The sequence below is a fragment of the Homo sapiens genome, chromosome 1, assembly GCF_000001405.40.
Source record: "Homo sapiens chromosome 1, GRCh38.p14 Primary Assembly".
NCBI lineage: Eukaryota > Metazoa > Chordata > Mammalia > Primates > Hominidae > Homo > Homo sapiens.
In genome coordinates this window covers 53,577,166-53,591,682 of record NC_000001.11, presented here as the reverse complement: position 1 = coordinate 53,591,682, position 14,517 = coordinate 53,577,166, and the positions used below count along the sequence as shown (strand labels likewise).

The window sequence follows — 14,517 nt, the reverse complement described above, 5'->3', positions numbered from 1 at the left end:
CTCAACACAATGCTGTGGGGTAGATACTGTGAACCCCCATTTTACAGATGAGGAAACTGAGGTTCAGGAAGATTGCATAATTTGCCCCAGGTCACACAGCTAGTTGGAAACAATAACAACAGTTATAATAAGAATAGAGGCTAAGAATGATAATGGTAATAAAAATAACTTGCTAAGGGTTACACAGCTAGTAACCATTGGAATGGGACTCGAGCCTACATCTTTCCAAACTGCAATGCTCTTGTTTGTGTAGCTCTGCTAAACTGACTATTCTCTGGGCTTTAGGGCCGGCCCCACTGGGTGTCACCATCTGGAGACAGCAGCAGTGATCTGGGCTTCGGAGGCTTGTCAGAGCCTCCCCTGGCCTCCTCTTGCCTGCGGTGGGGTGGGCGTGCTCCCTCTCCTCCATGATGCTGGCACAGTGGGTAACCCAGGGGAAGGGGTGGGCCTCAACCAGCACCCAGATAAGTAAAATCTCCCTTCCCTGTAAAATTATTAATTTTTCATGACAGGCCTCTGCTACCATGCACTGTAATAGACAAAGGAATTTTGGACCCAGAGCCTCTGGAGAACAGGAAATAGATGAGACATTTTGATTGAAGAGTAAATGGCCCACTAAAATAGCAGTTAATCCTTTTATTATCTTTCCAGCAGCCGTTTCCACAGTTCTTTCATGAGGTAAGCCTCCCCCATCCCATCCCACTGGAACACTCCCATTCTCGCAGCTGGCTTACATTTAGCCAGCGGAGCCTCTGCTCCGGCACCAGGCAGGCCTCAATGTGCTGAGAGGAGCCCAGCTCCCCTCTGCCTGAGCATCTTAGTCCTTAGGCCAGGCCTGGGACTAGGGACTTGCTGGACCCCCAAGGTCAATGGCATCACCATCCCCCACCCTGCCCTCTGCACGGCCCATCCATGCTGTCCAGAGGAAGCTCCCTAATCTTTTTGCAATATCCTGTTATGTTTCTTACGTTGCCCGAGTTGTCTCAGCCTTATTAAATGTGGTGCTTCATCTGTGTTACGATAACAAGGTTACCCGTCCAACCCAAATACTGACGCGACGACTCCAAGACATTAACTTTGAACAGATTAATTTCATGCTTTCTTAGGTTGGTTCTCCCAGACGGCCGGAATTCTGATTGTCTGCGACTGCAGAAATTAGCAGACTGTAGCTTGCTTTTCTCCACATCAAGAAGGAGAGAGGCAGAGTGAAAAAGGAAAAGTCATGACAATGCCCTTCTCTACCTTGGGTTTTATAAAACAACAATAGGCATGAGAAGAGTCCCTTACTTTGGTGAAGAGTTTTACCAAAGCTGTGAGCACGGTCCGGAAGGCATGTGCAGAGGTGAAAAGCCCAGGTCTGGAGTCCCACAGACCTGGGACCCAGCCTGGTTTAGTCACTTGGCAGCTGTGTGACCTCGTGCTGGTGACTTACCCTTTCTGAACTACAGCATACTCGATTGTAAAATGGAGTAATAATAGTACTTGCCTTTTAGGGTTGTTGTGATTAGGGATAAAAGAGATGATGTAAGGGAGGGTGCTTGCTTCCCCATCACACTCCAGCATTGATCTCAGGTGATGTGTACAGTAGCCCTGGGGCTTAGGGCAGGGTTATTTACAGCTGATTTACAGATGAAGAAACTGTGGCTCAAAAGAGCCAGTCAATGGGTGGCAGAGCCTGGACTTGAGACTGTAGCAGCCTCTGCTGTCAGTAGGGTGGGAAGGGCAGTATGTGGGTGGTTGCTTTGGGCAGGGCAGGCACTCTGTCCTTGCCATTCGATATCTACCAGGGATCCCTGATTCTTTGCATCTTGTTCATTGACAGTCATTTGCAGATCACCTTCTCTGAGTCAGACAGTGTCTGCTCAGGGGGCATGGAGCTAGGCTGGGGCAGCTGGACCTGTGGCATAGGAGGCCCATGCGTGTCCTCCCAGTCCTCATGAGCTGCTGGAGTCTCGGGCCGGGTTTTCATCCTGCCCAGCTTCCTCTGGCCACTGCAGCTGCACTGGCCACTGGTCTCCATTCCTTACGCCCCTCTCCACTGTTTGCCAGTCTGTCCCAGGTGCCTCTGAATCTAGGGCCAGAGAAATCAATCTGGTTGAAAGCTGAGTATTACGGATTGGCCTTAACTAGCCAAGGAACTCAGAACACAAGCCACCTGGCTGGACCTGCCGGGAGGGCCTTGCCCTCCTAGCCTGGGCCAAACTCACGGTCATTCCCCATAATCCTGGGGCTTCTGGCTTTCCCTTTTGCCTTGCCCCAAACCTTTACCCCCCTCCGCCAGCCCCTGAGAAACAAAATCCTGGGTGCTGGGAGGGGCGGGGGAGCTAAAGGGAGTTGCTCCTTACTGAGATTCAGAGATGGTTTTATCCTGGCTCAATGCAAGCCATTCCCTATCTGTTGTTTTGACCTCCTAGCTGGGCATGGTGGTACATGCCTGTAGCCCCAGCTACGTGGGAGGCTGAGGCAGGAGGATCACTTGGGCCAGGGAGTTTGAGGCTATAGTGAGCTATGATCACACCACTGCACTCCAGCCTGGGTGACAGAGCATGACCCTGTCTCAAAAACAAAAACCTCCGAGGCCCAGAGAGGCCAAATCACTTCTCAAGATCACACAGTCTGCCAAGTGGCAGGAGGTAGATACCAACCATATCTGCTGACCTGCCCAACCAGTGTTAACTGGAGAGAGATTTGATTGGGGTTCTGGGCTCATATCCCATGGGATATCCTGAGGGAGAAGAGAATTAATATATTCTGAAACTTACCATGGCCAGCCATGAATTACCATGCCCATTTTACAGAAGAAGAAACTGTATGTTTCTGAAGTTCGCAGGCAAAATGGCTTGCTCTGTATGACCTGCCTCAGCTGCCTGGCCCATTCTAATGGGACACACCGCCTTCTACTCATCTACTTTTGCCCAACCTCTTCCTTCAGAAGAACAGTCACCTCTGTGCTTTTCAAATCACAGTGGGTGGAGTCCCTGTGCATCTGCTGCCTTCTGCCCCCTGCCCAACATCTTGAGACCAGCCCTGTGGGCTTGAGCATTTTAAGGCCAGCACACACCCCTCACCCATTGCAACATCTGAAGCTCATCCCAGGGAATTACCCAGGATCCTGAAATGGATGAGTGGCAGGTCGGCCAGTTCATCCCATCACATACAGACAGAGAACAGGGAAGACAGACCCAGAGAGGGTGGTCAGGGGCCCAGGACTGCACAACAAGTATGCATCAGTGGGCAGGGAAAGTTCCCTGAAGGGGCTGATAATCGAAAGTTGGGGAAGGTTTAGGCTGTGGGAAAGTGACCCTCCAATTAGGAAAGAATTATTCCCCTGAAACACTTGCCTTGCTTTGGTGTGCCAGGCCTCGTGCTAGGAGCTGGGGGTGCAGAGATGAAGATGTTGTGATGTGAGACTTCTGGCACTGTGGGAAGAACACTGCTTTTGAATCTTGTGATATTATTGCTGGATGATGGAGACAGGGAGGGGAGCCAGGAGCTGAGGTTTTGCAGCCTGGCTTTATAAGCTTGGCCAGGTTGATCAAGTGGGACAAGATCATTATTGAGACGCTTGTTGGGCGATTTTCAGTTTATGTAGTGCTTCCACGTGCATGATCTCAGCCCTCAAAATATTCATGGAGACTGGAATTATGATCCCCATTTTATAGATGGGGAAAGGACAGTCCAGTTCTGGCCCAAGTTCAGGTCCCAAATGCATGGTGGGGTCGGATTTAAACCCAGGTCTCAGTCTGACTCCAGAGACTGTGTACTAGCCATGACCCCAAGCCACCTCCCAGGCACAGAATCATCAGTCTGTTTACAAACATTGAGAGAATATCCAGATCTGAAACTCATTCAGCAAGCTGTCACTAAGCACCTGCTGTGTGCCCCCTGGCTGGGTCCTGGGGTCACAGAAGGGAATCAAATCCTGCCTGGTCTCAAGGAGCCCTCAGTCGAGTGGGGAAGTAAATGGATATTGCATGTAACTATTTTTCTCAAGAAGCCAGCACCCAGTCACCTTGAGAGCCTGTTGCCTGCTGACTTGATGGGTTCTTTGTTCTGTCTTGGAGTAGAGAACACCTCATGGGTTGAAAAGTAAAACATTTCACTCTCATTAGAATAGTCGCCTGGAAACAAGCTCCCTTCCTGGAGGCTGGGGTTTCTGGTCAAATCAAAAAGCTGCCCTGGAGAATCCTGCTGTAAATGAGGCCAGAGAGGCCAAGTGGTCCCACCCACTCAAGCCACCAAGTCTATCCTCAACTTGCCTCAACTCAATCTAGGATTGGATGGATCTGGGAAGGAGACCTGTTTTGGGCAAAGTCAGCTTGCAAGTTGGCATCCAGAAGTGTCCTCGTTAATGATCCTTCCTGGGATCATGTCACTTCTCATGTCTACCCTCATTATTAGGTGGGGAAGCTGAAGCCCAGAGAGCAGGCACCATGGCCTCATGTCATCCGGTACATTAACAGCAACCCAGGGATGCCTGCTTTATTTCTTCCTGCCCTGAAGCTTCCTCTCCTCCTGAATTCCTAGAGAGTCTGCATTCTCCAGGTCCTTTAAATCCTTTGGGTCTTGGCTTTTGCTGATTCCTTTGTCTAGAATGCCTTTCCTAGCCTGGCAAACTCCTATACATCCTTCACAACTCAGTTCAGTGCTCCCTCCTTAGCTCCCCCTTTCTCTGTGCCTCCTGTTCTCCCAGCATGTGTTGCGCTGTGTGTAACAGTGGTTCCTAACATGGCCAAGTGTCTGGGGGACCACATGCCCTTCAGTGCCTGGCCTGGCCTTCATTGTGGAGGAGCTGAGTCCCCTCCCTAGGACAGAGGCTCTGCCCTGTGATTATCTGTTCTCTCTGTTCCAAGGCTGTGTGAGGTTGCCCGGACCCTGTCTTCCTGAGTAGTTTCCCATGAAGTCACAACATTGGTGGGACTTTAAAGACTGTCACGTCTACCCCCTAATCTGGTGCTTGAAGTTTTTCTGCAAGAAAGCCTGAATTTGAAACCTAGCTTTGCCACCCCTCAGCCTGTGATTGTGTACAAGTATAGCTTGACTTCTATAAGCCTCGGTTTTCTTACCTATGAAATTGGGGTAATAGGACTGTTGTGAGGCTTTGATGAGAAACTAGACAATGGCACACAGTAAGTATATCAGAATGGTCCTGGCCGTTCTGGACAGTTTGCATTTGCGAAAGAGAAAAGGGAAAGTCTAAAATGGATAGTGGCTGTTCAGTCACGAATGTCCCCAAAGAAACAGAAAAGGCTGTTGGAAGTCCCAGCTCTGCCATGGGCTGGCTCTGTGACCTTGGATGCGTCGCTTGGCTGTGCTGAGCCTCAGTTTCCTGCACTGTGAAATGGGATAGTGCCTAGCAGTCAGAGTCTGCAGTAGACAGTGTTTAGTAGGGGCTCAACAGATGCCAATGTCCTTTCTTCTCTTGAGCCCGAGGTTTAGCTCCACAGATCTTGGCTTACATTGGGATGCTTTTCTTCCTCCCCTGTTTTGGAAAAGCAAACCCAGGGGGCTTGGGCTTAACAAGGAGAGGCTTCCTGGAAGCCAGTGTCCTTCCAGTTCTCTGGCCTTGCAATTAGGTCAGAGCCTCGTCCCCCACCAGCCACTGTGCAGAGGGGAGACTGAGTCCCCAGATGGAAATAACTTGCCTGGGGAAGGACAAGAGGGACTGGAGATAGATGGAGTTGGAGACTCATCCCAGCTCTGCTGCTCACTAGCCATGCAGCCTTGGACAAGACACTTCACTCCCAAGTCTGTTTTTGCATCTGTAAAATGGGAGCTGTGATGCTCACCCCAGAAGTTTCTGTAGGGGGTGGAGGGGCTGTGCTCTGTACCTGCAGAGTGCTCTGCAGAGGGGCACTGTTGCCCTAGTCAGGGCTGCTGGGCTGAAGCTGAGTCTCTGACTCCCATTCCAGTACTCCTGCCTGCAGCCAGGCCTCTGAGTACAGACAGGGCACTTTCACAGGTGTGTTCCTCCCGGTTAGATTCCCCATCAGGAATGGAACAGGTTGGCTATGTGCTCCCCAAATGTAGTTCCTGGTCTTGAGGCCTCAGCCTGCAGCTTTGCTGGATGCCCTCCTTCCCTGCTCCACAGCCCACCCCCACCTCACTTCCACCTCCATCCCCACCCTGCCCTGTTTCACCCCCATTCCCCATCCCCCATTTCTACTTATCTCCATCCCTGACCCCCCACCCCTTTCCCTTCTTACTTAAATTCTGAGCCAGGGTGGACCAATGGCTAAACACACAGGACAACCACTAAGGTTCAAATCCCTTACTCTGCCCTTAACCAGCTGTGAGACCTCAAGACAAGTCACGTGGCATCTCTGAGCCTTGGTTTCCTGTCTGCGTGGAGGGGAGAGTGTTGTGAGAACTAGATGAGATCATATATGTGTAGCACTTACCTCGTGCCTGGCGCATATTAGATGCTTGAAAACAGGAGCCCTTGTTCCTTCCCCCACCTCCCCATTTTTTGAAGTCGTTAGTCCCAAGCTCTCACAGGGAAGAGAATTCCCAGGAGCACCAAATTTGAGGGAACAGGAGGGCTGGCCAAGTTTTGTGAGCCCAACATTGCTTTATGGAATATGAAAAAAAATTAAGGATAAAAAACACAACTATTTGAATTGAATTTAAACTAATAAAGGAAAAAGCTTTTGAACTTAATGTAAATGGAATTGAAATGATTGTCTTACTGGAGTGAGAATGTCAGATAAAATCAACAGTGACTTTAAGAAGGTGTCCAGACCATGTTTTCTGAGAGGGCCATCCTGGAAATGGCAAACTTCGTAACTGAGAATTTATAGACTCTGTCTCTGCTGGATAACAGATGGGGTTGCCAGAGCTGGCTTTGTGTGCTCACTTGGATGGCTGCAGCTGCAGACCTCAGCATCCTGTTCTCGTCTGTTAAATGGGGGATGGGCCAGGTAACCCCTAAGGTCTCGGTCACCTTGGACACACCAAGACCGAGATGCTGAGGAGAAGAGGCCCTTCTTTAGAGTCCTTCCTTAACTGTGCCCTTCCCTTGGGAGACAGCCTTGGGCTAATCTGTATTGTCCACCCCCACCTGGCCACCAACCTTTCAACACAGCTTGACACCCCCTTGTGCCAAGTTCAGTGCTAGAAGCAAGGAGTACAGTGTCAAAGGAAGAATGGTCTGGTGGCAAATGAATTAACCAAATGCCTCTGACACAGAGGAGGGAGAAGGATTTCCTCAGGATGTCATGAGAGCTGGGCTCTGACAGGTGGGTGGGCACTTTCCAGGTGTAGACCATGAGAAGACCCATTGCAGGGAAAGGAAACAGCACACGTGAAGGTTTTGACATGTGATAGTCTTGACCTTGTGGGGAACATAGGTGTCCTTTTGGTCTTGAAGTGAATTACCTGCATGGGGGCTGAGGGCAGAAACATCGGAATTGAGCCTCAAAGGGCCTCAAGGTCTAGTGTAAGGAAATTGGACTGTGCCCCGAGGGAGTGGAGAGAGTCTCAGAAGAGTTGTACACAGGACTGTGATATGGGCAGAGGTAACATTTAGTGTTGCTAGTGTGGTGGGTACATGGCAATTGGCAGATGAGGACACTGGGGCTCAGGAAGGGCAGTCCACTCAAATCTGGAGCCCTTCTTCCACAGATCCACCGGCCTCGGACCATGCACCCAGTCTTGCCAACGCCTGGGCACCCGTGGGCCAGGCCAGGTCAGCCTAGTGTGTCGTGCTGGGGCACAGTGTCTGCACATGTTTGGGTAATGGAGCTGGGTCCTCCTTCGGAAACTGCCTCCAGCACATTTGCCAGTGGGAAATGGGAAAAGCATATCCCATAATGTGGTTCCGTAAAGTTTGCACAACTGTTCTTTGTTTTCCACCCGTCCCCACAATAAATCTTCTTCCACTGCCAGGACTGGGGCCTCCGTGGTCTGTAAGTGATTAAGGCACCGACTTTCCCGGCCCCTCCTCCTCGCAATACATTCTTGTGACGTGGGTAATGATAAAATGAGAATCTGTCACTGAGATTCTGTTGCCTTGCAAGTAGCAATTTCCAAATGGCTGGGAGGTGGCCTCCTGTTAGAAGGCAGCCTGCTCTTGCCCTCTCTGTATAGCCACTTCCCTTGATAGGTCCTGCCATGTTGGGACATAAGCTCAGACAGCAGATGGACAATGTGGTACTGGGCGGTACGTTTCCTGGGGATGGGGCAATGGGACTGGAGGTCTCTGCAGGACTCTGCATTCTGGGGGGCAAGACTGGGACATCTGCTGGGCACAGAGCACCCAGTGAGTGTCTGTTCAACTGATGAACCATCTAGCAGCCCCTTTGTTTTATCAGATCCCCAAGCCATAGTGTTTTCAAGCCAAAAGTAACATTTGTATCTTCCTGGGGAACAGTCAGGCCCTGGGCAGGGCCCTGGGCTGCAGAGTTTTGATGGCTAGATCCTGTGCTCAGGGAAGGCACAGGGCGGTGGCTGGATTGCTGTTTCACAGTGGGGTCACTGAAATGCACAGAGTGGAAGCTACTTGGCCAGTGTTACATCTGCGCCTCCAGCTCAGGTCCTGGCTCTGCCCCATGATCTTCCCGCTGTCCCTAGTTGCCTACCACATTTAAATGTGAGTGTATTCTTCCCAGCATCTGCTGAACCCCAAGTTTTGGGAGGCAGTTTGGCTTACGGGGTCATTTCTGATCAGGCTGAGTTGCCAGTGAACATGACAGTGATTGGAGCTTAAGAGAGTCTGGCCACAGGCAGAAAAAATGAGTGCTTCAGATACTTCCGTAAGATCCCCAGTACCCCTTCTACCTGCTCCCCTCCCTCCTTCCCACAGGAGTCCAGGACAACAGAAGGTGCCTCAGCTAGGCCACAAGGCCGACTGCCTGGATCTTCACATTTGCTGTTTGCAGATGTGGAAACTGAGGCCCATAGAGAGGATGTGGCTCACTGGAAATTGCAGAGCGAAAGAGGCAAGCTCAGCATCCCTCACTCCCAGCCAGTGTCCTGCCTGCTAGACACCACAGTCTGCTGAGTACCACCTGTGTGCTAGTACCACCTGCGGTGAGCACTTACATGTGTTGCCTTCCAGATTCTGAAGAACACTGGCTCTTGTCATGTGCACTGGGAGGAAATTTCCCAGGTTCAGCAGCTCCTCTGATGCCCCTCCCAACCCCTGCCACACCCTTTGACAGATGGGGCCTTGAGACCCAGGGCGGAGAGGTGACCTGCTGGAGGTCACACAGCAGGAGACGGTTGGCGGTGCATGTAGACCACACGTGTCAAAATCACCTTCCCTCCTAGCAGGGTCTGATTCACAAAGAGCTGCTGGGCAGGCTCCAGGGAGACTTTAACCAGTTTCAAATGTCACACCTTCTTAGTGCATTGGGAAGGTGTGATGACTGATTGCTGTGGGTGTTAGGGTCAGAGGAAGCCTGGCTTGTGCAAAGACCCACACAGGCTTGCACCAGTGCCAGCTCTGCTTCCACTGCCTGGCTCTGCCAGCCTCCTTTCTTCATTTGCATGGAGCCACCTGACTGTGGGGCCTTAGTTCCTCTGTATGTGATTAGGACTTGGATTAGATGAAGTTGGAAGCCCTCCTAGGTCTCCTGACCCTGATACAGTCTAAGTAGAGACAGTGAGGCCAGGGGTTCAGAGCTAGGTTCCCTCCCCAACTCTGCATTCAAATTGTCTGTGGTTCTGGGCAAGTCATCCCACCCCTCTGAGTCCTCAGTTTTCTCATCTATAAAATGGAAGACTTGGACTCCATTGAGCTCCATCCTGTGAGCTCAGACATTCAGATGTCCATAGTTACTTTCCTGCATTCCTGGCACACCCTAGGGAGGAGGAAGGGGGTGGAGGGCATGGAAAGGGCAGGTGTGGGCCCCTCCTGAGCTCTCTGGCCCCAGTTCCTTCCACACTCCTCTCTCTTGCTCTGTTCCGGCTGTTCCTCAGATATGCTAAGTTCATTTCCACCTCTGGCTCTTTACATGGCTGCCCCGTCTGCCTGGAATGCTCTTGCCCCAGCCTGACCTCTGCTCCCATGTCACCTCCTCCAGGAGGCCTTCCCTGACTGCCTCTCGAAAGTAGCACCTTTGGCCACTGTCTGCCCCTATATTCCACCTGAAATCCTGTTATGTGTTTGTCTATGATCTGTCCTCCAGCCAAACTTGAGCTCCATAAAGTCTAGATGTTTTTGTTTTGTTCCCTCTGTATCTCCAATGCCTCAAACAGTTCCCGATGCACAATATGTGATCAACAGATAAATGAATGTTAGTAATAAAAAGGGGGAGAGTGGTTCAGTGGGGCAGAAGGAATGGAACATGCTAGAAAGGACTCAGACAGAGAGTCAGGACTCTTGTCCTATGAAGTGGGGGGTTTTGCAGCAGCTCACAGGGTCGTGTTGAGGGCTGCACGGTTGCTGTCCCAGAGGTATTTCTGGGTCAGCCTAGCTGGGACTGTCCGCCCAGGGAGGCCAGCCCAGTGCCCAGTACCCAGTGGTGCTCAGCACCCACTTACCCCTGACCCCTATTTCCCTCCCTTCTTCATCGGCATTATCAGGTTACAGGAGAGGCTATGCCCTCAGTTCACAGCTCCTGGAATGTCAGATTCAGACAGGAACATAGAAACCATCTGCTGCGACTGGAAACACAAATTTGGAAACTGAGGCCCAGAGAGGCGTTCTTATCCAGGTTCCCACACTGTTTCGCTCTTGGAAAGGAATTTACGATCAAGTCCTCCACATAGTAGATGCTCAGTAATTAGCTGCTGCTGCAGCAGCTGTTTATCATTAAGCCCATCTCTGCAGATTCTGTTTTTATGACCATGGGCACAGAGGTGGGGCAGGAGTACAATTTTGCATTAATTGATAACAAAAGGATGGAAACAGCCAAGAATGCAGCAGGAAAAATGATTCCACCATCCAAAAACAGCTATTTTAAAGTGTGAGGAAGGAAGGAAAGCGGCATTGGTTAGGCACGTGTTCTCTTCCATATGCCAGACTAAGGCTTTCGTCCATGTTTTCTCAGTGGATCTTGTGATGCGCTCATTTTATGGATGAGGAAACTGAGGCCCAGAGAGATCAAGAGCTGGGATTCCAGCCCCTGGCCTCCCCCTGCTCTGGGGTACCCTCTGTCAGCATCAGCGATGACTCCTCTTTTAAATTGAGCTCACCTTGGAGGACCCCTGACCAGGCCTCTTAATTAGTTCCTGCGATTCCTCAAAAGCAGTCACGTGTAATTTGGGCTCTTCATGGATTTGGAGCATATCTCTCCACTTAACCTGCACAAAACCTCTGGGGAGGTTTTGCTAAATCAAGAATCAGCACTAGGAGCTCAAGGTGTCCTCTTGCCTCACTCCCTGACCTTTGTGTACAGGAAGATACCAACCTCACAGGTAGGGAGGCCTGTAGGGCTCGGGAAAGGGAGGGCTTGGGGCAGCGGCCTGGGGCTCCAGCCCTGAAAGAGGGTGCAGGAACCAGGTCAGGATGGAGGGGCTCTGCGGCTCATGGCTCTACCCATGGGGGCAGAAGACAGAATGTGGGGAGGTCCCATGGCCAGTAAGAGGTGGCATGGGGTTCAGGTAAGCCTGCAGGCATAGCCACCCCTCAAGAGGCCTAGGCTCTGCCCCAGGGGCTCCTGGAATCAAGATTCTGATCCCAGGCCTTACCTGATCCCTTATTCATCAGGACGGTGGCTGCACATGCATTTTCCTTGTTCTGGTCTCAGTTTACTTACCTGTTCAGTGGAAATGATAACCGTGTCCAATTGCTTACCTGCCCTTTACTCCGTATAGTCCTACGATAACCTCATGTCATTGGGACCATTGCCCTATCTTTCCAACGCAGACACTGGGACTGGAGAGATAGGGAGCTGGCTGAGCGGCAGGGAGGTCTGTGACAAAGCCCAGGGCAGGCGATTGCCCTGTGCACCTCTCCCTCTGAGCCCGTTGCCACACCCTGGGGTGTGATGATGTTTTCCTGGGCCAGCTCTGCCCCCACGGCTGCCCCCATGGCTGCCCCCGCGGCAAGCACAGCTTGCGTACTGGGGGAAGACAAGGTGTGGTCCTGAGGAGTGAGGGCTGCTTCCAGCTCCAGCTGATAGGAACAGAGGGTATGATGCCTGCAGTCAGCACCTCTGTCGGGAGGTTGGCAGCTCATGGCTTCGAAGCACCAGCTCTTTAATTGTCTCCATATTGTGAACCCAGGAAGATCTGTCCTGACAACTGGTTGGTGAAATCAGCCATGGGATCCCCCTCCCACAGCCTGAGCAGCGGTTTCAGCCTTTCAAAAGCTGTCTGAGGTGGTTACCTAGAGGGTAAATTAGATTCACCTGGCAAGGCCTCATGTCCCCTGGCACGGTCGTGAGAATGCTGAAGGTTGTTGCCCTTGGATCTGTGTCAGAGAGAGAAGCATGGAGTAGGCCTGGGCCCCAGGAAGCTGGGCAGGGGGCAATAGGAGTGTCCAGTCCCCATTGGTGAGATGGTAAATCCAGTGGGGCTTTCTCATTGACGTCCTCAAGTTCCAGCACCTCTGCCTTTGGGCCCTTTCCTCCATGAGAAACATTTAAAAGTATATTTTATGACAGCATTGGTATAAAGAAAAACATATTATGTATTAACACATTTTCTTTGACCTAAACTGTTTTTTTTTTTTTTGGATTTTAAATTAAAACATTTTCATGAGTTCCTAGAAGTATCATGGACTGTAGGTTCTGTGCCTGCTGTGTCTCCTAGAAAATCAGCCCCAAGAGCAAGGCCTGCAGATCCTGGGGCTGCTTGCAGAATGGTACATGTTTTCTTCACCCCTTCCCTTCTCTGGGCTTCAATTTCATCCTCTGTGAAAAGGGGTAGGTGGAGGAAAATCCTGTTGCAATGTTCTACTCTGCTCCCTTCTGTTACAGTTGATTTTGTTCCTTATCATTGAGTTATTGTTTTCCATTAAGAAATGATGGATAGTTACAATAAAAGATCTATGTGCAGTTAAATTGACATAGATTAGAGAAAAGGACATAAATACTTGGAAAACCTAAGCTCACTTAATTATCGTGATTGAATCGTATATTTTCCTGGAGCTTCCTGGTAGCCAAAGCAAAGAGGGCAACTTGTTGATACAGGATTCTTTTTGAGTGGGAAAGGAAGCAGACCAGCCAGCTTGTGTGCTGGGGGCAGTTTTGTCTGGATATTAATCCCTACGAGGTCTTATGTGTGAGTCATATGAGCTGATGGCTGGAGGAAGGCTGTAAAAATGAGAGAGTTCATTATTAACAGGTGATGATACAGAGACCCTGAACAAAACAATAGACCTTATTTTCACAAATAACTATGCTACTATTATTTGAGAAAAGCCAAGGGCAAGTAAACACTGGTAGTGAAGGACCTAGGTCCTAGTCTGTGTGGTGCTGTTAGCCTAGCAATATGTCAGCCCTCTGAGGTAGCTGTCATTATCCCCATTTTACAGTAGAGGACATTGAGATTCAGAGAAGTTAATTAACTTGACCCCGATCACCCAGTGGGATTCAGGCTGCTATAGCAAGCAGCCTGTCTTTGCAGACTTCAAGTCTGAGTCTATTACTTGAGACTGATGCAGTCCTTTACTCAAGGAGTCTGTAGCCTAGTGGACTCCAAGGTCCCCGAGGGTGACACTGTTTGCCCTCTTCTTTTACCTGCTTTAAGGAGGTGCTCAGGGGATGATGGGGCCTAGGAGAAGGAGCAACAATCAGCCTGGGCCTAGGGTAGGGGGATCAGGATGGCATCGTGGAGGAGATAAAAGGGCTTCCAGGAGGAGGCACTGGCATGGGGAAGGGCCAGGGTGTGAGTTAACGAAGCCTCGCTTGGAGTGGTGGCAGAGGAGGAGAGAATGTCTACCTGCCAGGTTCCTTAGTTACAAGCAGCAGAAACCAATCCTGGCCATAGTGAGCCCTGCATCCCCACTCAGAAATATATTGGCAGGCTCCAGGGACCACAGGCTATCTGTCCAAGGGAAGAGGATCAGACTCAAAACAGGCAGGATCCCAGGTCCTCCAGGGGCACACAAGCTTAGAGCCTACCCAGACACCATGATGGGATCCTCACTTCTGTGCTCCAGGGCCACAGCTGTAGCAGGGCAACCCACTGGCCAGGCCTGGCTGCCCTCAGGTGGATAGGGGCTGGACCCTGCTTTGTGGGAGGCATAGGTGTTCCCTATTTACAACTTCACTTCCCGCACTCAAGGAGTGATAGTTCTTACTATGGGGAAACTGGGCAGCCAGTAAGACTCACGTGTTTGTCAGCTCCAGAAATGGCTTGATCTGAGAGAGAGAATCAGGAGGGACAGGTCACCAGGAGGCAGTGCGGAGTCTGCTAGATGCATGGGGTGGGGTGGGGAGCCCAGTTGAGGGCTCCAGCCTCTGGCCTGGGTTCATTGAGTGGGTGCTGGTGCAGGCCTGGCAGCTTGGGGAGGAAGCTGTGACTTGATCTGGGGCATGCTGAATAGGGAGGTGTCAGCCAGAGGGCCCCAGGGGGGTAGGGGATGCGCAAGTCTGGAGCTCCTAAGGCAGGAGAGGGGTGTGGTCA

The 14,517-nt window shown here is 51.0% G+C and overlaps 1 protein-coding gene across 11 annotated transcripts in view, besides 1 other annotated feature; it reads left to right on the top strand.

Annotated features, from left to right (window-relative positions):
- The window catches only part of GLIS1 (GLIS family zinc finger 1), a 232,926-nt gene that overhangs the window by 147,482 nt on the left and 70,927 nt on the right, over positions 1-14,517 (top strand). Inside the window, exon 5 of one of the 11 annotated variants that reach the window (NM_001390836.1) lies at positions 655-678. The exons of 9 other annotated variants lie outside the window; for them this stretch is intronic. In NM_001390836.1, coding sequence (NP_001377765.1) covers positions 655-678 — 24 coding nt within the window. Of the gene's footprint in view, positions 1-654; positions 679-8,803; positions 14,470-14,517 lie in introns of those variants that run through there. One more of the 11 variants, XM_017000412.2, reaches the window with a different exon arrangement.
- Positions 6,241-6,441: a silencer, noted in NCBI's record as "peak234 fragment used in MPRA reporter construct". NCBI's record gives its function as "represses an SCP1 promoter by STARR-seq MPRAs in K562 erythroleukemia cells {active_cell/tissue: K562}" and the evidence as "EXISTENCE:reporter gene assay evidence [ECO:0000049][PMID:32103011]".